Source organism: Homo sapiens, chromosome 5, assembly GCF_000001405.40.
Source record: "Homo sapiens chromosome 5, GRCh38.p14 Primary Assembly".
Classification (NCBI taxonomy): domain Eukaryota; kingdom Metazoa; phylum Chordata; class Mammalia; order Primates; family Hominidae; genus Homo; species Homo sapiens.
In genome coordinates, this window is record NC_000005.10 from 53,900,706 (window position 1) to 53,922,261 (window position 21,556).

A 21,556-nucleotide genomic window follows, 5' to 3' on the forward strand; every position below is an offset into this window, starting at 1 on the left:
AGAAAATTGAATATTGGAGAGAAGTTACCAGTCTTCCCAATTAATCAAGCCATGGTTTCATGAAGGAGGTGGGATTTTACATGAAGAGTTTCAAAACTGTAGATATAATTGGTTCAAATGATTACACATATGCCTACGGGCAGCTGCAATGAATCGTGTTGCAAACAGAAAAGTAAACAACCTATCCTGGAAAAGAGAACCACTCCAGAAATCTCAAGACCCACATAGGACACTTATGTTTTGAGCTATTCCTTTAATCTGTGTCCAAACAAAGCATCTAATTCTTATTTCAGAGAATGGAAAGCTCTGACATATGCAAAAAGAGAAGCATCAGTACACTTGTCTTTGCATGCAGGTGCAAGCAACAGACTTCTCAATACCATACATAACATAGTCGTTAATTACAGAGGCAGCCAGGTTCAAGAGCACATCATGTTCTCTTCCTTTTTCTCCTCTCCTCCTTTCCTTCCTTTCTGTCAATCATTTCCACTCCACTCTTTCAAAAGAGCATTCATTTTTGGTATCAAGCACTTTTAGGGTATTCTACTTGATTTTTTATCTTCTGTATTTGGGGTAATATTCAGTTATGATTTTCCTTCCTTTCAAGAAAGCAAATATTGTAAGTAGGAAGAAACCTATTCAATGAAAACCTTTCTCCTGGCAATAGAATAAGGTTGTTTAAGGAGTCCTACCTATATGTCTGTAAGCTAACAAAGTATGTACTAGACAGGAAAGGGAGTTAATGAGTGAAAGCCCCAAACACATATTAGAGACAACCAATTAGCTTGTCTGAAACACAGGCTTGTAAAGCTATCAGTATCTTATAAAATGGTCTGCTACACACGAGTAAAATGTTGTTTAAATGGCTTGCTTAACTAGATGCATTCACCATGAAATTGATTCTTTTAAGTTTTTTTTTTAAACTTAATACCCATTAAGTGTGCATATTGAAATGGCTAGGTGGGTGGGAGGGTGGGTGCACATCCTGATATTACAAAGTGCAGGTTGAAGATATGAGTTCCATATTTTATGAGGTTAAAGAGCATATGAAAAAGAAAAACAACTCATGATTACCAACAATTGTGTCTGCCTCAGTAACTGAAATGTTTCAACACAGTTGGATTATTCCTCCTTTGCCTTGCTAAAAGCTTAGACTGGGATGGCTAGATGTGCTCTGAGGACATTCCAGTGCTGAGAATTTATGCTTTTGTGTTACAGAAAACACGGTTTTCCCACCATAGCCTTTGATTCTGCAAAATAGCATGAGAGGAAGAAGCCCCTGAGCCTGGTATTTTTCAAATCCAACATTTGCCTCAGAGTGAACATCAAATTTCATCCCTCTAAGACCTTACAAAACATTTGAGGTAACTTAACGTTAGCTGACAAATGAACAATTCCTGATTCTATTTCACATTCTCAATTTTCTTAAAAGTCTACTCTATCTTTTAAAATGAGTTTTTGGCCACACCTCACATTCAACTTTTTCTGTTATACGAGGCTGTGTGCCACAAATACACGTCAAACGATTGCTACCTGATCAGACAACCAGGGGAACGTGATTTGATTTTGTCAAGTCTAGCTATTCTCCCTGCTAATCCAATATTGGCACCCTTGTGCACTTTATTAAACTACTGTCAATTGGCCAACTCAAGGGATTCTCTGACTCAACAAAATATTAGGGAGAATATATTTAGTCAATGGTTAAAGAATGTTGAAGGCACAAATATCTTTTAAAAACAGTTTATACACACAAGGTTATTTGGCTTTTGTAATGGAATATATGTCCCCTGTCTCAATCTTGCAGCTGTCGGGTATGAAAAAACAACAGCAGTAGTAACAAATCAAAATGTTAATATATGGAACCCAAATAAACATGTTTAATATTGGCCTTGTGGTACTATGGCAGCACTCTGTCCTAACAACGACAACATTTAGATGCTGGAGCAGATTCAAATTCTTGGGCCATAAACAGGAGACAGACAAATATGGCAAGCCACGCGTTACTCAGTCACCAATGGAGGGTGCCAATGGCCCCGTCCAGATGCAGAGATATTCAAGGGATGTGCCTGTCAGCAGTTTGTCCTCTGGCTACAGCAAGAAGCCACCATGGAAACACCAGAAGGAAAAGAAAAAACAGGAAAGCATGGAGAACTAGGGGAAAGAGGGGCAGGGAGCTGAGGCAGAAAAAGCTGACAGCCGCCTCAATAGCACATCTGAGCAAGGGCAACAGGTAACAAATGGGCTTGTAACCAGGTGCCATGTCAGTCACGGGAAGGGAATTTCTTTCCCTGCTGGCAATACAGTCAGGAGCCTAATATCCTGGCAACTGAGAAATATGAGCTTGGAAAGAGGCTTGCAGGCCGTCTAAAGAAAAGCTAAGTGGTAATCCGTACTGAGGAATTTTAGCCAAAAAATCCCACACAGGACTAGTTGAGCTCAGTACAAAGCCTGTGAAAGACATGTCTCAAGAACATTCTAATCAGACATAAAGAGAACACCAGAAATAAAGGTTCCAAAAGCCATTGACTGGGATTTACCACAGCATTGGGAGTGTGGCCTTGGGTCGTAATTGTCATCCATGACTAGTTGAAAATACTAGTTCTAAACCAGGGAAAGGAAAAGGCAACTGTACCTTCCCACGGGACATTTGATAATGTTTGGGGATTGTTTTGGTTGTCATAACAGGGGGTGGGGAAGCAGAGCAGGTGGTTACTACCAGCATCTAGTGGGTAGAGGCCAGGGAGATGTGGCTAACATCCTCCAATGCATAGGGCAGCTTCCCCTCTCACCTCAACAAAACATTATGTAGCCCAAAAGGTCAATAATGCCAAGATTGAAAAACCTTGCTCTGAACTGATCTTCTAAGGCAAAAGTCAGAGAACAAACCCCTGTTAATGATTCAATCCACAGTTTAGCAGCACAAACCATCAGACTCACTCCCTGGAACCAGGAGATTTAGAAAGTGGACTGGGAGGGTAGACCAGGAGCTCCGTCCAGGAGCATCACAGGTCAACAGCTCCTATTCTCTGTGCTTCTTTCTGGCTCAAAATGAATGATCAACAGATCTTGGGGGGCCAAGTCAGTACACCAAATTGGGCTGAAACAAGTGTGCCAAGGAAGTAGCCACCTTTCACTCAGTCTACACAGTCACTGTTTTGGGCTCTGGGGATACAAAGGTGAACATAACAAGTCCTGGCCCTATGGAGCTTACATGGTGGCCAGCGATACTGACAGATATCAAGTAACTAAGTAAAGTCGGGTAGGAATAAGTGACATGAAGGAAAAGAAAGTACCACAGCAATAATAACATTTGCTATATAACTGATCTAAAGGAGGGACAGAAGGCAATATATGGGTTAAATATAAAGCAGCCATAGATAAGGACAAATCTATAGTTGGGTTCAAAACAATAGCACATAGAGCTATGATAAAAGCTCTACTGATTAGTCTCCACCTAATCACCTTGGATCAACCGACTCTTCATTGTCCTGGTACAAGACAAATGATTGATGTTGCCTACACAGTGAATGTTCATGACCAGTGGACACATCACCCTGAATGATGGTAATTACCCAGTGGATGCTGACAACTGGTGAGCACTCCTAGGTTGCTTCACAGCTCTCAAGATGGCAATCATATTTATTATTAAGTAGTATAAGTAAATGTGACACCAACAGATAAAATATGAACTTGAGAATTTCTATTCCTATGAAAAACTAAATGGAATGAGTTCAAAGAACTTAATAAAGGTGAGTCACTAAAACCAAACTGCTGTTGGATTGGATTTAGATAAGATAACTACAAAGGATTGAGAGGGAAAGATGCAGATTGCTTCCCAAGTATCTTTAACTTATAGTTCCATTTTAAAGAAACAGAAGCTGAAAAATCATAGGTAATGGCTGCTTAATGAAACAAATATAAAACACAACTCTGATTAGTGGCCACATATTCAGATAAAAGGCCTTGGCCCAACATGAAAAGATTAGTACCATTGGTATGTTTAAATTAAAATAAATTATTTATTTTTAGTTCCTTTTTTTTTTTTTTTTTTGAGACAGTCTCACCCAGGCTGGAGTGCAGTGGCACACTCTCGGCTTACTGCAGCCTCTGCCTCCCGGGTTCAAGCAATTCTCTGCCTCATCCTCCTGAGTAGCTGGGATTACAGGTGCCTGCCACCATGCCCACCTAATTTTTGTATTTTTAGTAGAGATGGGGTTTTGCCATGTTGGCCAGGCTGGTCTCGAACTCCTGACCTCAGATGATCTGACCACCTCAGCCTCCCAAAGTGCTAGGATTACAGGTGTGAACCACCAGCGCCTGGCCTTTTAGCCAGTTCTTGATTAACTGTTCAACTACCAGTTCAGACCAGGCCAGATGAGTGGGCTTTTAACTACACGTTCTGCTCTAAATTTCCAGTCACACTTTTCATCATGTCTGAATCAAAAGCATTCTCAGAGGGGAAGTCATTAACACCCACTTCAGTCTGAAGTTTAGAGTGTTACATAAAAGCATGTCCACTGTCAGAATCAATACTAGTGTCTATCACCTCAAATCCTTTTTTGTGACAGTCGAGTATAAATAAATAAAATTAAAATACTCAAACCCACGCTCATGTGCACACCCCCACACCCCTACAGTTTCCTGTAGAAATATTCATCTCTATGAAAGCATATTATGGTTATAACTGAAAACCTTGTTATTAAATATAATATTAGTTAAAATATTAAACATAATGTTATTCTGAATGTATTTGTAAAATATTTCCTAAATAGAACTTATTCCAATTTTCTAGACCCAGAACAGAAACAGAATTCTATTATAAAGTATACCCATCAAGAAAATGTCCTGAGCTTTTCTTAGCCCATGCCCTGATTACAATCTTCCACACTACATTTCTTTAGAGAGCAGGTAATCTTAGTGCTTTGCAGAATAGTCCTATTTTACCTTGAAATTATCATCTGTTTCTTTCCAAATGAATTCTTACCAAATTCATTTTTCCTTTGGTAAAATGCCAATTCCAGAAAAGCGCTTAAAAACAAAAATCATATAATTCCAATGCCTGACAAATGATAGCTTGTACCAATGATCTATTTTTAACTAGAAGGTAAGTGTTAATAACAAAACAATTCTAAATGATACATGTAAATGGCATTTGCCTCTATGTGTCCACAAACTTACTTTTAGTTCCTGATACCCTGTCACATTTAGCATAAGGACACTTATACGTCAGAGTCCTTGAAATAGGGTTTGTAAATTTTAGGTGCCTAGTCACAGCATCTAATCTTTCACTGAAAAAAAGGAAAAGATGTGGCTCTAGAGAAATCAGTATTTCAGAAACAAATTCTTGCCTGTTTGACTGTAGCTTCTCATCTATCCATACAACACATGTAACCTGCACACTTTTTAGCAAGTCAATTATAGTTTTCATAAAACATACGGAAATGCTGAAATCTCCTGCAGCTGCTGAAATACTTGAATTCTGACTTCTTATATGAAGTCGTGGACACCAAATATGTAGTAACCTACTTACAGGTTGAACTGCTTTTTGGCACCATGAGAAGGGGCAATCTTCTATCAAACTGATTTGATAAATCTGTAAATGTGTCCGGTAGGTTGCAGGGCTTGGATCAGTAACAAAAAGCATTGTACTATGGGATGGGGGTTTGACAGGTTCCAGCATGACCACTGGCCCTGTACATCACCAAGATATGGTTTACCTCCTACAAAACCTGGGGAAAGAGAAAAAAATGGAAGCAATTAAGAGGTACAACATAATGGGGGGAAGTTCTGCACATGAGGTGGAGGTGGAAGTGAACTGAACTAACTATTCTCTTTCTTGTTCCCCTCACTTTCTCACAAAGTATGTTATTAAGCAAAGGACTTATTCAAAGCACTAAAAGACATAATATATTAACTAACACTCATGGAGGAATTGAAAAGAGTTCCCTAAATGAGCAAATCACTCTATCCTTATAGGCAAGGCTGAATTTGCAATGGCTTGCATAACTATCTTAATGGTTTTTATGAAATATTATAAATTAGACTTACAGTTTAGATTTAAGAAATTCATTTGTGCTGCATCATAGATGTTTAAAAATATTCCTATATCTGCACAAAGCATAAAAAGCTCTCTGGAAAATCATGAAACCCTTGCACACTCAATATTCCTCCCCACACCAGTCCTTCCCATCTGCCAGCTGGGTTTCATTTTAAGAATTTCACACTGAATATAAAGTGCTATTTTGACCATGTGGCTCCAGAAATGTGAATTTATAGTTTTTTCAGCTTGTATGCAGGTGATTGACAGAGAGGGGATTAACCAACTGGATGCGATGAAGCTGCTGCCTCTTCCTTCAGGTTACTTTAAGTTTCCATGCAAGGATGGCCATCCTTGAATGGTTTCATTGAGGCTAGCAAGAAGTACAGCTTCCTAGCAGGGGACTTACTTTTCATTTAACTACTACATGGCCACCATACCTTGAAACTATTTTCTCCATGTTACTATTCCTCCCACATTCCATCTATTTTCCCATCTGTAAAATGGGAATACTGAAGTTAGCTTTCTTAGACATACCTTGTGGTGATATCCTACTGATATATGACACATATCTATAGTTACTGGTCTTCGGGTTTAAGAGTCAAGATTTTGACAAATGTGTAGGTGAGCATGTGTGTATTTGGTTTTCTTGGGTGGGGGCAGACTAGAGGGAATGGGCATGGAGAAGAAGGTTGAAAGGTTGGCTTAAGAGTTCATATATATATATATATATATATATATATATATTTTTTTTTTTTTTTTTTTTTTTTTTTGAGGCGGACTCTTACTCTGTCATCCAGGCTGGAGTGCAGTGGCGCAATCTCAGCTCACTGCAAGCTCCGCCTCCTGGGTTCACGCCATTCTCCTGCCTCAGCCTCCCGAGTAGCTGAGACTACAGGCGCCCTCCACCATGCCCTGCTAATTTTTGTATTTTTAGTAGAGACGGGGTTTCACCTTGTTAGCCAGGATTGTCGCGATCTCCTGACCTCGTGATCTGCCTGCCTCAGCCTCCCAAATTGCTAGGATTACAGGCGTGAGCCACAGCGCCCAGCCGAGTTCCTTAATATATTCTTACTCTCTGTGTGAGCAATGCCTAATAACTGAAATATGGAAGAGACCCTCTACACTCAGTATTTCAGATATTGCTTTGGGCATCTAGAAATGTTTCAGATACGATTGCTATTTAAGATTGCCACATAAAGCAGTCCTATTTTTTCAACAGTTAACTATCTTGTTTCAGACTTCTCATCCTCAAGCATCATCACAGGCACAAAAATGATGTCATAACTATAGACAATAGTCCCCCTTTACATGCAGTTTCGCTTTCCGTGGTTTCATTTTCCTTGCTACCATATAAAAAGATATTTTGAAAAACAGAAAGAGAGACCACATTTGTTTTCATTACAGTATGTTGTTACAATTATTTTATCATTAGTTACTATTGTTAATCTCTTACTGTGCCTAATTTATAAATTAAACTTTATCATAGGCATGTATATATAGGAAAAAAATATAGTATCTATAGCAGGCCTTCTGTATCCATGGGTTCCACATCTGTGGATTCAACCAACTGTGGATTGAAAATACTCAAAAAAAAATTGCACACGTACTGAACATGTAATGAACTTTTTTTCCTCATCATTATTCCCTAAACAATAGAGCATGACTAGTTACGCAGCATTTACATTATATTAGGTATTATAAGGAGTCAAGAAATAATTTAAATATATAGGAGGATATGCATAGGTAATATGCAAATACTACACCATTTTCTTTCACTGACTCAGATTTTGTTATTTCAGAAAGGTCTCAGAACAAATGCCCCATGGATACTGAGGGACAACTGTAAAGGGTTTGGTACTATCTGTAGTTTCAGGCATCCACAGGAGGCCTTGGAATGTATCCTCCGTCAATAAGGGGTGATCCACTTGTATTCAGATTTTCAAAATGTTTCTTTTTTGCAACTTTAGGGTCATGCTGTTCCTGGGATTCCGTACACTCACTAAATGCACAGGAAATAATACTACAAACCAGATGACTTCCCTATTTGACAAAAGATCAATGAAAGGATATTCGAGCATTGACTTTTGAGAAGGGTGTGTAGGATATATTCAGATTTGATACTGTGACACTGGAGCTAGTCTCAAAATTAATGAGCATATACACAAAAGTTGACATCAGATGGAAGATGACATCATTTGAAAAATACATGCTTATCATATCCCATCAAGTTTGGTCCTGTTCAGAACAGGAAAAGTTCCATTCATAGGTGGAGTCTTCAGCTTCTAAATTATTCGGGAGAGTAATAACAATGTTTCCCCTCCCTTCCCTCAAGACAGAGCAAACAAACAAGTACACTATAGAAAATCAATTATAATTAGGGGAAAATTTCTCCTGCTTGCCAGCAAAAATAAATATGGCTCCACTGAAAAAAATCACTAATATTATATATTGAAGTTTTAGACATATGCTCTGAATAATTAAGAAAATTATTTGAGCACAGAAAAAGGTATGGAAGAAGCCACATCAAACTGATAACACTGGATAATAACCTTGGGGATTAAAGAGGGAAAAGATTATTAACTTTTATATATCTTTATGTATTTCTGAATAATTGGACTTAAAATAATAAGTGACTATAGTTTTTGTATTTTAAAAAAACTAATAAAATAAAAACAATCAGGCTGGGCACGGTGGCTCACGCCAGTAATCCCAGCACTTAGGGAGGCCGAGGTGGGCAGATCACCTGAGGTCAGGAGTTCGAGACCAGCCTGACCAACATGGAGAAACCCTGTCTCTACTAAAAATACAAAATTAGCTGGGCGTGGTGGCGCATGCCTCTAATGCCAGCTACTCAAGAGGCTGAGGCAGGAGAATCTCTTGAACCTGGTAGGCGGAGGCTGTGGTGAGCCAAAATCACGCCATTGCAGTCCAGCCTGGGCAACAAGAGTGAAACTCCATCTCAAAAAGAAAAATAATAATAAAATAAAACAAAACATAAAAACATACACATGAACACATCAAAAAGAGAATTTAAGGAAATAAAACTACACTGTATGCAGAGACACATCCAAGAAGGTAACCTGGCTCACAGTAGAAGCTCAACAAACATGAGTTATATGAATGTGAAGCACACAATAGCTGACAATATAAACATTCTCCTCATATAATAGTATCTACTCATGTGCCGCAGATAAATATAGTTGCTTTTTAACCATCATAGTTAAGAAATATGGATTTTTATCTTATCTAAGCACTTTGGGGATTTAAATTTTAAGTCAATAATAATTTATAAGAGTTTGTCTGTTTCTGGAAGGTGGGCAACCTTTCAGGCAGGCCAGAAGACCCTCAGGATTCTTAACTTTCACAATGAAAATCCAACAACTGCCCACAGGGCTGCAATGTTTATATGTGGATTTTCCAGAATTAGTGGTACCAGCTCTTCAGGCCCGGACAGGAAATGAAATCTCCAACTCCCTGCTCTTTATCAGATCTCCTGGGAGAAGTAATCTTTAGAGAAGATCATTGAAAGGGCCAGATCATCCATCTTCCTCTACAGGATGTCTAATGCTATCCTTGAATGAAGTTCAAGTATACCCTGCTGAAGGCTACCAAATCACTTTATGGCATTTCAATACTAGGGTCTCAACATTACTTAATGCCACCGTAAGAAAAGGCCACAAGAAATTCAAAACTACGCTTACTATAACAGTGTTGTGAATTACTCATTAGATCACTCAATGTCTTCTATAGAAAACATCTTCTTAGAATTATGGTCTTAAATGACGAGTTAATGGGTGCAGCACACCAAAATGGCACATGTGTACCTATGTGACAAACCTGCACGTTGTGCACATGTACCCTAGAACTTAAAGTATAATAAAAAAAAATTATATATATATATATATATATATATATATATATATATATAAAGAAAACGTCTTCTTAGAATTATGCTCGAACAGCTTTTATTTTCCCTATGGAAGACACATTCTCCTTGTTTTCCATAATGAGAAAGAATATGTCACAGATCATGATTCCCCTGCCCTTTCGTTTTTCAAAAACCCAGAGCAACAAATATGAAACTCAATTGGAAAAGTGATTCGACCAATTGGAGTAGGGTTGAGCATTATTATAGTTGCCTTCTCTTTGTTCTGATCTTCTTGTATTTCAATATTTTATTATTACTATTTTCATGTGAGTCACTTTAAATACTTTGTAGACAGAAGCAGTGGACTACATAGACAAAATAAAAATAAAGTAATATCTCCATCTGGAGTTGAACAATAACATTCAATTATCTCTTTCCTTGGCATAACTGCTTAACAGAATACACGAAGCTTCATTGAAAGCCACCAATATTCGATCATTCTTACTATTTTGAGGGCTTCTTAATTTTACCATGGAGTGTGGACTCCAGTTTTATCAGAATTGTCTTGGTATGAGAAGCTTCAACTGAAGTTCACTCATTTAAAACATTTTAAGAATATCACAGTAAGAAGAAATTCTTCAGTAGGTCAAGTCCCTTACAGCAAAATCCAAGAGACTCTTCAATTGTTTTACTATATAAAATGAATGATGCTTACAACATCATTTTTTCAGAATCCTTCCTTCTTTCCTTTGTCCTTTCTTTCCTTCTCTCCCTCATTCCTTCTCTCCCTCATTCCTTCCCCCATGACTGTGATATTTTCAGGTGATAGGATTTTAACTGTACCGTCCAGTTCTTACTATCTTATAGATCAGATGTTAGATGTCATCTGGCATTTTTTAAATTGATTGTTTCTCCAAAGTACCTTTAACCTTTTTTTCAATAGGCTTTTGGGGGACAGGTGGTGTTTGGTCACATGAATAAGTTCTCTAGTGGTGACTTCTGAGATTTCAGTGCACCCATCACCTGGGCAGTGTACACTGTACCCAATGTGTAGTCTTTTATCCCTCGCCACCCACCACCCTTTCCCCCAAGACCCCAAGTCTAATATGTCATTCTTATACTTTTGTGTTCTCATAGCTTGGCTCCCACATATGAGTGAGAACATATGGTCATCTGGCATTTTTAATGCCACACGATCAAATCCAACAACACTCTCCAAAATAATCTTTCAGGGTAGTGATGGTGGAATATAAAAACAGTAAAGTTAAGGTGTCTTTAGCCATAGGATTCTGGCCAAACTGTGAGATAAATAAAATCTGCCTTTATTTCTTTTTCACCTTCCTTTCCAAGAATTCCTTCCAGCAATCCGAAGTCTCTATATACCTTACCATGTGTCAGACTTTTTTTTTTTAATGGAATACTTTATGAATTTGCATGTCATCCTTCCACAGGAGCCACGCTAATCTCTGTATCATTCCAATTTTAGTATATGTGTTGTCAAAGTGAGCACCACACACTCTTTTAAGATTAAAAATATATATATTAACTCACTAATCCTCACGTCAGTCCATTGAGGAAAGTACTATTATTATTCCATTTTTCGAAGCTAGGACACCGAAGCTTAGACAGGTTAAAGAATATGTCCAAGCTATGGGGGCAAGACACAATAGTGGTGGTCTGGCCCAAGAGCCTGTGTACAGTGGAAATATGCTGCTTGTTACTTAGTATGCTGCATGCTGAGCTAGTACTAACAACAAAAAAACGGTTTTCAATGAAAAATCAGTGATTAATAACACGAAATGAAATCCAACAGTATGTAACTTTAGGTACTTATAATAGGGTTGGGATGAGATTTGTTGCAATGCCTCCTGAAGTCCCTTAAAACTCAGTCCACATCAGCAGCTACTCCTTGAGAGTATTGCAAGTAGAACAAAGCATTTCAAACCACAGAATCCTTTCAATGTTTTTATATTTCTCCACCATAATCTTGCAGCACCCCCTCCTCCAAAGGGCAGCACTGAATGCACAGACACATGACACATTGATATGATCAAGGTTGATTGGTGGCTTCCCACATATCATGTGAGGTCCACAAGAGACTAAAGATTGCTAGAGTATTGTGGAACCCTCAGTGATCTGAATTCAACTTATCCATTCATTCATTCAACAGATACTCAACAGGAACCTACTACATGCCAGATACTCTTCTAGAGACTAAAGATAGAGCGGTGAACAAAGCTGAATAATCCCAAACTTCTAGCTACTTACATTCTAATGAAGAAAGACTAAATAAATGTGATAAACCACTAAAATAGTATGTAGCATGTTAGACAATGGCATAAAGTACTAGGAAGATGAAGCAGGAAGATGCATGGGAAGTCTACAGTTCAAAACAGGGTGGTCAGGCCAGGCATGCTGGCTCACGCCTGTAATCCCAGCACTTTCGGAGGCTGACGCAGGAAGGTCACTTGAGGCCGGACTTCAAGACCAGACTGGGCAACAGAGTGAGACCCCATCTCTACAAAAAATTTTTTTAAAAATTAGCCAGGCATGGTGGCATGCATCCGGAGTCTCAGCTACTTGGGAGGCTGAGGTGGGAGGATTGCTTGAGCCCAAGAGGGCAGGGTTGCAGTGAGCCAAGGCTGCACCACTGCATTTCCCCATGGGCAACAGAGTGATATTCTGTGTCAACAAAACAAAACAAAGCAGGGTTGTCATCTCTCAATACTCACAGATCCTATCCCCTTAACTGAGTTTAGTCACTCCTTGAACTCACCTTGCCCTTTCCAAATATGAACTCTTTGCCCAAGACATTTCTTTCTCCTAGAAGGCCCTCTGTCCTGTTTCTTGTGAGTGGTAGTTTAGCTAGTTAACTGGACTGAAGCCGAAACTACCGTTGTTCAAATCCCCTTTTTATTACTTACTAACTCTTTGGCTTTGGGTAAGTCCCTTGACTGCTCTAGGCCATAGTTTTCTAATTTGGAAAATGGGTATAATAATAATGACAAGAACAATAATACCTATATCACAAGGTTCATTGTGAGGCTCAATTGAATTAGAATATTAAAGTGTTCAGAATAGTACCTGGCACTATTCTACTACTACTATGACCTCAACTAAATTTCTATCTGTGCTTAAGACCCAATTCAAATGCTACTTCTCAATCTCTAATCACAATAGCTGAAGGTGAGGTTTTCCTTCTCTGAGATCCTGTAGTCCCTTGGTTTTATCACTCTAATGGTATTTAACCTGTATCATTGCAAGTATTCACGCTATCTTGAAGTACAATTATTATATATATGTGAAGTACAATTATTATATGTGTGTGTATATTTATTTACTTATAAACAGCTTCTTCCCTCCTGAAATCACAGCACCTGAGGGTTTAGAATGAACATAAACTTTTCTTCTTCCTCCTTATCTCCTTTTCCCTTCTGTGAGTGTTTTAATCAGTTCATTATTTATATATACCAGAGAGTGGACAGGACAAGGAAAGGGAAGTGAAATTAGCAAGTGCACAGGCCCACACACACACTCTCACACACACACACACTTTATAGTTCTGTATTAGTTTATTACATTTAAATCTCCCAATGTTTTTGATCTCCTTCTCTGAGGAAAGCTTGGTGGTATAGCAGTCTATCCTCCAAAGATTTACAATCTAAATCGTGTAGAAAGCCTTAAGGAAAAAAAAAATCCCTCTCACTTCAACAACTTAAGCCCCAACCCTACTTGAAACTATGCCTTAAAGTGCTTGCTGTCTCCCCAAATATACCATGTATTAATTTTCACACTTCAAGACTGCTACTTATCCACCTGATGCATTCTGGAACCTCCTTCCCTTCCCCTGTCACTTCCCTTCTTTGTTTTCCTTGCTCTCCCTTCCCTGAAGAATTGACTGCTCCCTCAACCCAAGTAATACATAAATATTCGTCCATTCATTTCCCCTCTCCCCTGCTAGAGTGCAAATTCTTTGGGATGAAGACAGACCTCAAGGCTCAGAGAGCTTTGCCCAAAGTAGACCCTCTCACTCATCTTGGCGAATTCCGCATCTGGAGCAAGGTCTGAAGTGAGGCAGATGCTCAGAGTGTTCACTGAATGGAACTGAATGAGCTGCTAATGAGAATAGACAAAGGAATCTTTTCTTCTTTTCTTTCTCTTTCTTTTTATCTTCTTTTTCTTTTTCTTTCCTTTCTTTTCTTTTCTTTCTTTCCTTTGATGGAGTCTCGCTTCTTCGCCCAGGCTGGAGTGCAATGGCGTGATCTCAGCTCACTGCAACCTCCACCTCTCTGGTTCAAGCAATTCTCCTGCCTCAGCCTCCCAAGTAGCTGGAATTACAGGCATGTGCCAGCACGCCCAGCTAATTTTTGTATTTTTAGTAGAGACGGGGCTTCACCATGTTGGCCAGGCTAGTCTCAAACTCCTGACCTCAAGTGATCAACCCGCCTTGGCCTCCCAAAGTGCTGGGATTACAGGCATGAGCCACTGCATCTGGTCAGTCAGCCAAAGAAATTTCAGTCCCTCCTTCCCTCCCTTGTCCTTGCCTTCTGAGCAGAGATGCTGGGCACAGAGCTGACCAAACCAAACTACTAGGGGGAGGAGATACACAAATACTTCCTAAAACAGTCTGGGCAGGATGATCTATAGTTTTTATTAATTCAGTTTGTTGGGGGCTTTATCACACACAAGGCACTGTGCTGTGAGAGAGAAAGATAACCAAGACCTGATACTGCCCTCAAAGAACCCGTAGGCTACTGGGTGAAAAAGATAATAATTATAACAAGGTATGTATAAAAATGGCTGTGGGAACACAGAAGAGGGTGTGAGATTTACCTGTCTTGATAGTTGCTAACTCATTTGAAAATTCATAATATTTATAAATGATAATAAATCCATAGCAAAAGAAGCTTTAAAACTATAGTTCTCAAGTCTAGCATTGAACAGTTTGGACAATGTCTAGGTTATTTTATTTTGTGGAGAATAGGCTGTTTCTGAAAGCTCCCACTTTTATGGCCCAATCAGTAAGAGATTTCTATTCCAGCTGCTACACTATTCATTTATTTTAGTTGTAAAAACTTGAAAAAGCGAAAGGAAGAAATGTAAAATAAGCATCCCTGTCAAATTTACCCTTTTTCTTTAGAATGATGTTGATCCAAGACAAACAGTCTCAACCAGGGCAACATATATTTTAAATATCATTGCAGCAAGTAAGAAAGAGAAACGACTTGATTTAAGGTTGGTTTTTGATTTGTCAGGTGACTTTAAGTGATTCGCCTCTTGGTTCCCAATTTGGCTTCTATTCCAAGATAGAAATTCTAAAACTTGCTCTTTCACTCAGGTTGAAGTGCAGTGGCATGGTCATGGCTCACTGCAGCCTTGACCTTCTGGGCTCAGGAGATCCTCTCATCTCAGCCTCCCAAGTAACTGGGACTGCAGGCACACACTATTGCACCTGGCTTTTTAATTTATTTTTATATTTTGTAGAGAGACTGTCTTGAACTCCTGGGCTCAAGCGATCCTTCTCTCTCAGCCTTCCAAAGTGCTGAGATTACAGGCATGAGGCACTGCACCTGACCTGAAATTCTAAACGTACTCACAAAATACCCAGAACAGATTTAATTCAGAGAATACCTTAATCTCAATGTGGCTGTGTCCAGGTGAAGAGTCAAAATGTAATATTAAAAAAAAAAAAAGAGAAATAGAAAATTAGGTTCCACGATAGACACCAGGGCTTACTTGAGGATGGAGGGTGGGAGGAGGGAGAGATTTGAAGTACCAATTGGGTATGATATTTACTACCTGGGTGACAAAATGATTTGTACACCAAACCCCAGTGACACAATTTACCTGCTGCAGGGAAAACAACCTGCACATGTAACCCCCTAAACCTAAAATAAAAGTTGGGGGGAAAGAAAGAAAGAAAATTAGGTTTCAGAACACAAAGTATTATTATTATTATTTGGAAAGTGCCTAGTAAGACAGGGGCAGGTGACATGTTCTTTTAAGGCATCAGTACTAAGGCTGCCCAGCAAATACACAGCTAATCTAGAATATTCTGATAGAAAGATAAGGGTACAGGGAATCTTGTATGAAACAAGAAAAAGGCCAGATGATTGATACAGCCTCCAACATAATTTCCCCTAAAGGCTATTAACAACACAAGAAGGCCCAAGGCATTACTCTGAGCAAATTAAGACCTGACAGGTCATGTAGGAAACTCTTTCAAACATCCCAACATTTGATGTTTTATCATTTCATTTTGCTCTGCATATCAAAGAGATGGTTTTACCTCTAGCCCAAACCTCCGATATTCAGTAGTCACTCTATTCATATATATATGAAGGAAATCACTACAAAAGAAATACACAAAGCTTCAGCTTACTCTGGACTCAATATTCTAGGGGAAGACAACAGTTTTCATTTTCTTTTCTTGCTGGAGAACAAAAGCATCAGGTAGGAAAATCTGTCCCCTTGGAAAAGGACCAGCCATTTGTTCTCTGGAAGGCCCCTGAAAGTAAGCAGATAAGGGAAAGTGGATATCTGGACTTGCCTGAGAAAAGCCTTTTAGGTCCAATTGTAGCAACTTATTTGAGAGCTGCAACTCATTAAGTGTGTCTCTGATATCACTTCAGATATGAAGGTTAGTGAAACATACCAATAGATTGAATCATCAAAAAATTCTCCTAGGAATTTGAACACAGAAGATTTGATGGAGAATTACTCCATTGGCTCAAGCCTGGATGGGCCCCTAGTGGAGATAAGATACAGACACCTTTTAGACAAGGGTTTCATTCTTCAGAAATAGAAGCTCAAATTGAGAATGTTCCCTCAATCCCTCAACATTATCATCACAGTGTTTATTAGACATCTACATATACTCCATAGGCACTAACCAAACACATAAAATCTAAAGTCTCTGCCTTCACAGAGCAGACAAATTAAGAAAACAACCCCACCTCCTGCTCCCATTCTGGGGACTACACATCAGAAAATAGATCTCTTTTTACAAATGTGACCAGTTTATTTCCTTAAATCCTTATTGATTCAGGAAACAGTGCTCTTCAAGTCTCTGGCTTGAGAAGAGCAGTTAAGATTAACCTTTTCTGATACTCAAGCTGCAGGACATCTTCTTTGCATTGCCTCTGGAAGGCTTTAACATTGCTCTAATCCCTCATCTATCAAACTCCTTCACCAGAGGGGTAAAGGGGGCCCTTTTGCTCCCTATTTTTATGAGTCTGCCAGGAATACACTGGCAATCAAAACTGAAGCTGCATTCCTTAAAACGCTTTTGGTAAATAGACACAAGGCAGTATTGTGCTTACACATATTTCATATTCTGAGTTGTCTATCTTAAACTCAGGCTCAAAGAGGCTCTGAATTTCCCATTCTTAGAAATCATACGACATATGCAATAAGAACATATGGCCATGAGATAACTGAGGCTTCAGTTTGTACCACAGCCAAGAACACTAGATGCCCAAGTGTATAACTACTAATGAATCAAGAAATAATGCAGAGAGGTTGTCGAGAGAAGGAAAATATAGAAAACCAATTTAGAAAAAGCAGATTTTATTTATTTATTTATTTATTTAGACAGGGTCTCACTCTGTTGCCCAGGCTGGAGCGCAGTGGTGTGATGATAGCTCACTGCAAATTTGACATCCTGCGCTGAAGCAATACTCCTGCCCCAGCCTCCTGAGTAGCTGGGACAACAAATGTGTACTACCATGCCTGGCTAATTTTTTTTTATTTTTAGTAGAGATGGGGGGGGATCTCACTATGTTGCCCAAGCTGGTCACGTACTCCTGGGCTTAAGTGATCCTCCACCTTGGCCTCCCAAAGTGCTGGGATTACAGGTGTAAGTCACTGCTGCTAGCCGGAAATCAGACATTTTAAAGGTATCTGTCAATTGCATAATAATCTAAAAATATTTACATAAATGTGATAATGAGAGATGAGAGTGATTTAGATCTGGGGGGTCATGCAAAATAAAGCTTCTCAAACTCAGCAGAATTTCAACAATTATCCAAGGTTGACAGTCTTAAAAATACAAATAGAGACTGCACACTAATAAATATGAAGCTCTTAAAATCTGGCTTTAAGATAATGCCACACAGACCATTGACAGTTAGCAAATGAAATAAAAGAGTCTGAGTATCTGGAAGCAAAAGAGAGGAGATTTTGAAATATATCTTATAATTTGGTGAAGTTGACAGTAAAAAAAAAAGCTGCATTATTTTCGAAGGTCCATTAAACTTGAAAAGTAACAACACAAATCTACAATCTAATTACACAATTAAAATTAGTACAAGAAGATATACAATTATTTTATAACTTCTGGATTTCTACTGGGCTTTTTATTTCCTCCACTGGTTTTGTCTTTCATTGGGAAGGAAAATTTCAATGGTTTATCTTATAAACACCAGGTGTGAGTGAACATTCACTGGGCAACTGTACAGGACATAATACACCCCTCATAACACCTCCCTATCAAGGCTTTTGTTATAGATCACTGCCAATCTCTGTGAAAACAGGAACCATATTGCAAAGATCAGCAGTCATACAGTTTTCCTTAACAAATTCAAATACTACATCGTAAGTCTACGAGGTGTGTGCCAAAGGTGTTATCCAATATACTGAGTGGTAAATAGCAAAGCCCTCCCCATCAGATTTTCTCAACTTGGAAGGAATTAGGGAAGCCATTGAAATGAATGCAGAATGGTTTGCAGAACCGTAAATAATCATGGTAGAATCTACAAATGTAACACTAGCTACCCCTTGTAAAATTATCTGTGCTCCTGCCAAGGGAACTCACACTCCAGTGGAGTGCAGAGCAGTAGAAATACATTTACCTTTCTTATGAAGACAAGAAAAAAGATCAGCCTAGTGCTTTCTATAAACAATAATACAAGTGAGAAGAAAGTGATTGAGGGAGACAAAACAGGATGGGAAAGGAAAAAAAGGAAAGGTTTGAGCACGCCTGTGTGTGCACTCAGAATAAACAGCTCGGATTAAGGTGAAAGACTTGCAGCAGCTGCTGCCATGGTCTATTTCTACTGAATGGCAACAGGGAGGGAACAAGGGGAGGCAGATAGAGCTAACCTTTATTGAGCACCTACTATTCCATGCTGGGTACCTGAAATACCATGTGTTTGGATCAGCTCACTCGTTTCTCATAGCAACCAGTGACATTGGTGTTTGAGTTGTTGTTTTGTTCCTTGTATCAGAGCTGTGCAACTTGAACTAGAAAGATCACTGTCCTGCCATTTTCTAATCAAGTAATCTTGAACCGACGAGTCAGTAAATGTCTTTAGCTTCCTAATTTTTTAAAATAAGGGAATAACAGCTGTCTTTGAAGGGATTGGGTATAGACTGGGCACAAATATAGGTAAAGTATTTAGCACAGTGACTGCCCAGAGTAGGTGCTCAAAAATTGGTAGCTTTATGAATAAAATTTATAACTACTTAATAGAAAGCTGTAATATGTGAATAACTTTTTAAAAAAAATGGAAGTCTCATGCTAAAGCCCTGAACAATCCTTCCTTCCCGTAAGTACCTTCATAACTTTTGGGGGTCTATTTTACCCAAATTATTATTTTATTTTTGGTAGAGTAGCCCAATTTTAGAAACTTTTCCCCCATATATGTAGGGTTGGAGGGTAATTGAAGACATGATGATAGGGTCCCACACTATGTTTTTCATTTGTGGTTTCAACTTGGTGTATATCTTGCTTGGTTGCCTTTCATAATATATGTTCTTGTCATTTTGTTAAAAAATGGCTCTTCAACACAAAGTGAGTGCTTTTATGGGTTCAGGATAATTTGCACAGTCACTGAGCAACTGCCAAATGGTGAGCATCACTGTAGCTGCTGCCTGGTGCTTCTGGAATTTTTTTTTAAAAAGTATCTGCCAGCAGGTGCAGTGGTTCATGACTGCAATCCCAGCACTTTGGGATGGCTGTGGAGGGAGGATCACTTGAGCCCAGGAGTTTGAGACAAGCCTGGGCAACATAGTGAGACTCTGTCTCTATTAAAAAATAATAAATAAATAAATAAATAAATAAATAAATAAATAAAAGGAGCTGCCTACTTATGACATGCCAGGCACTGTGGTAAGTGCCTTAGATAGCTAGTGCATAGCAATATCTGTGTCCTCCTCTTCTTCCAGGGCAAAAGGCTACACTACAATTCACAGCCTTTGCCAGGGTTGGCTGTAGCCAGGTGACTGAGTCTTGGGAGTCGGGGCACAACTGATGTGCACAACCTCCAGGCCTGGCTCAAACTAAACTTTTGTGATGTCCCCTTTTTGTGCGCACAGTCCTTCTCTCCCTTTTCATAAGTGGTTGAATAAAGTGGCCCCAAGGACCTAGAGGAGAGCAGAACAAGATAGAGGACATCAGGGTCCTTGAATAACTACAAGGAGCAGAGTGCCCCCACTGACCATATTGCACTGTGAGGTGACCTACAGTGGCAAGACATCGAGAATGTAAGCTTTATAGCAACTGTATTACTCTAATACAGAAACATTTCATCACTTAATTCTCATTACGGCTCTGTCAGGTAATGTATTATCACCTGCATTTAACTCATATAGGAACAGAGGCTCAGAGAGGTAAGTCACTTGTTCAAGAGCAAGCAGCTAACAGGTGAAGAAACTGACATTCTGCCCTTGGTCAGTGAAACTTTAGGACCCATGTTCTTACCTATGGGTATACTGTCCCCCCTATAGCTATTGTAAGTATGTAAGTACAAAAACCTATGTGTTAGACATTTCCCCTTTTAACCTTGAACTTATGTTCCAGTAATAGAAACATTTTATTTTCCCATTAATTATGTGGAGAATAGTAAAAATTAACATGAACTAATTTTTGCAGATGATTTCACTCAGGGAGTGACAGAATAATGCGTATAAAACACTAAAAGCACAAGGCAGGTGGATCACTTGAGGTCAGGAGTTCAAGACCAGCCTGGCCAACATGGCAAAACCTGTCTCTACTAAAAATACAAAACTTAGCTGGGTGTGGTGGAGTGCGCCAGTAGTCCCAGCTACTTGGGAGGCTGAGGTGGGAGGATTACTTGAACCCAGGAGGCGGATGTTGCAGTGAGCCGAGATTGTGCCACTGCACTCCAGCCTGGGTGACAGAGAGAGACCCTGTCTCAAAACAAAACAAAACAAAAAATCATTAAAAGCAGACTGCTCTGACTAAAGCAAGGCTGGGGTTACCAGGAATGAGCAGTTTGACAATCACTATGTGCCATCATATTGATTCTCAACACTGAGCTATTCAGATTTCTTTCCCTTTTAAAACAAAAAATGTCTAATTCAGTTCTAGAATTCAGTTTTGCAGACATACCAGAGCTATGCACTGAAAGTTAATGTACACCTTGAAAGCAATATGTACCTTAGTGACAAGGTATATCCATCAATATCTGCTCATCAAACTACTTCCTGTTTTACTTAACTTGTAGTGTAGCACCATGTGTTTTGTCAGTTAATTACTGACCCTCAGCTGGCAGCCACTTGGTAATGAAAAGACTGTCTTCTGGTATGCCTTAGTTTGTGTTTCTGGTATGGCCATCTCAGCTTCCATTCTCTCCTTTAAGTCTGAAGTCTACATTCAGTTCCGTTTAGTTCAATTAACATTCACT

The 21,556-nt window shown here is 39.1% G+C and overlaps 1 protein-coding gene and 1 pseudogene across 8 annotated transcripts in view; both read right to left on the minus strand.

Annotated features, from left to right (window-relative positions):
* ARL15 (ARF like GTPase 15) overlaps positions 1–21,556 on the minus strand; it is a 426,632-nt gene that overhangs the window by 16,764 nt on the left and 388,312 nt on the right. Inside the window, exon 5 of one of the 8 annotated variants that reach the window (XM_047417338.1) lies at positions 13,344–16,416. The exons of the other annotated variants lie outside the window; for them this stretch is intronic. Within the exon in view, the coding sequence (XP_047273294.1) occupies positions 16,306–16,416 (111 nt within the window). The 3' untranslated portion in view covers positions 13,344–16,305. Of the gene's footprint in view, positions 1–13,343; positions 16,417–21,556 lie in introns of those variants that run through there. 8 annotated transcript variants of the gene reach the window in all.
* On the minus strand, positions 11,315–11,418 carry RNU6-272P (RNA, U6 small nuclear 272, pseudogene; annotated as a pseudogene).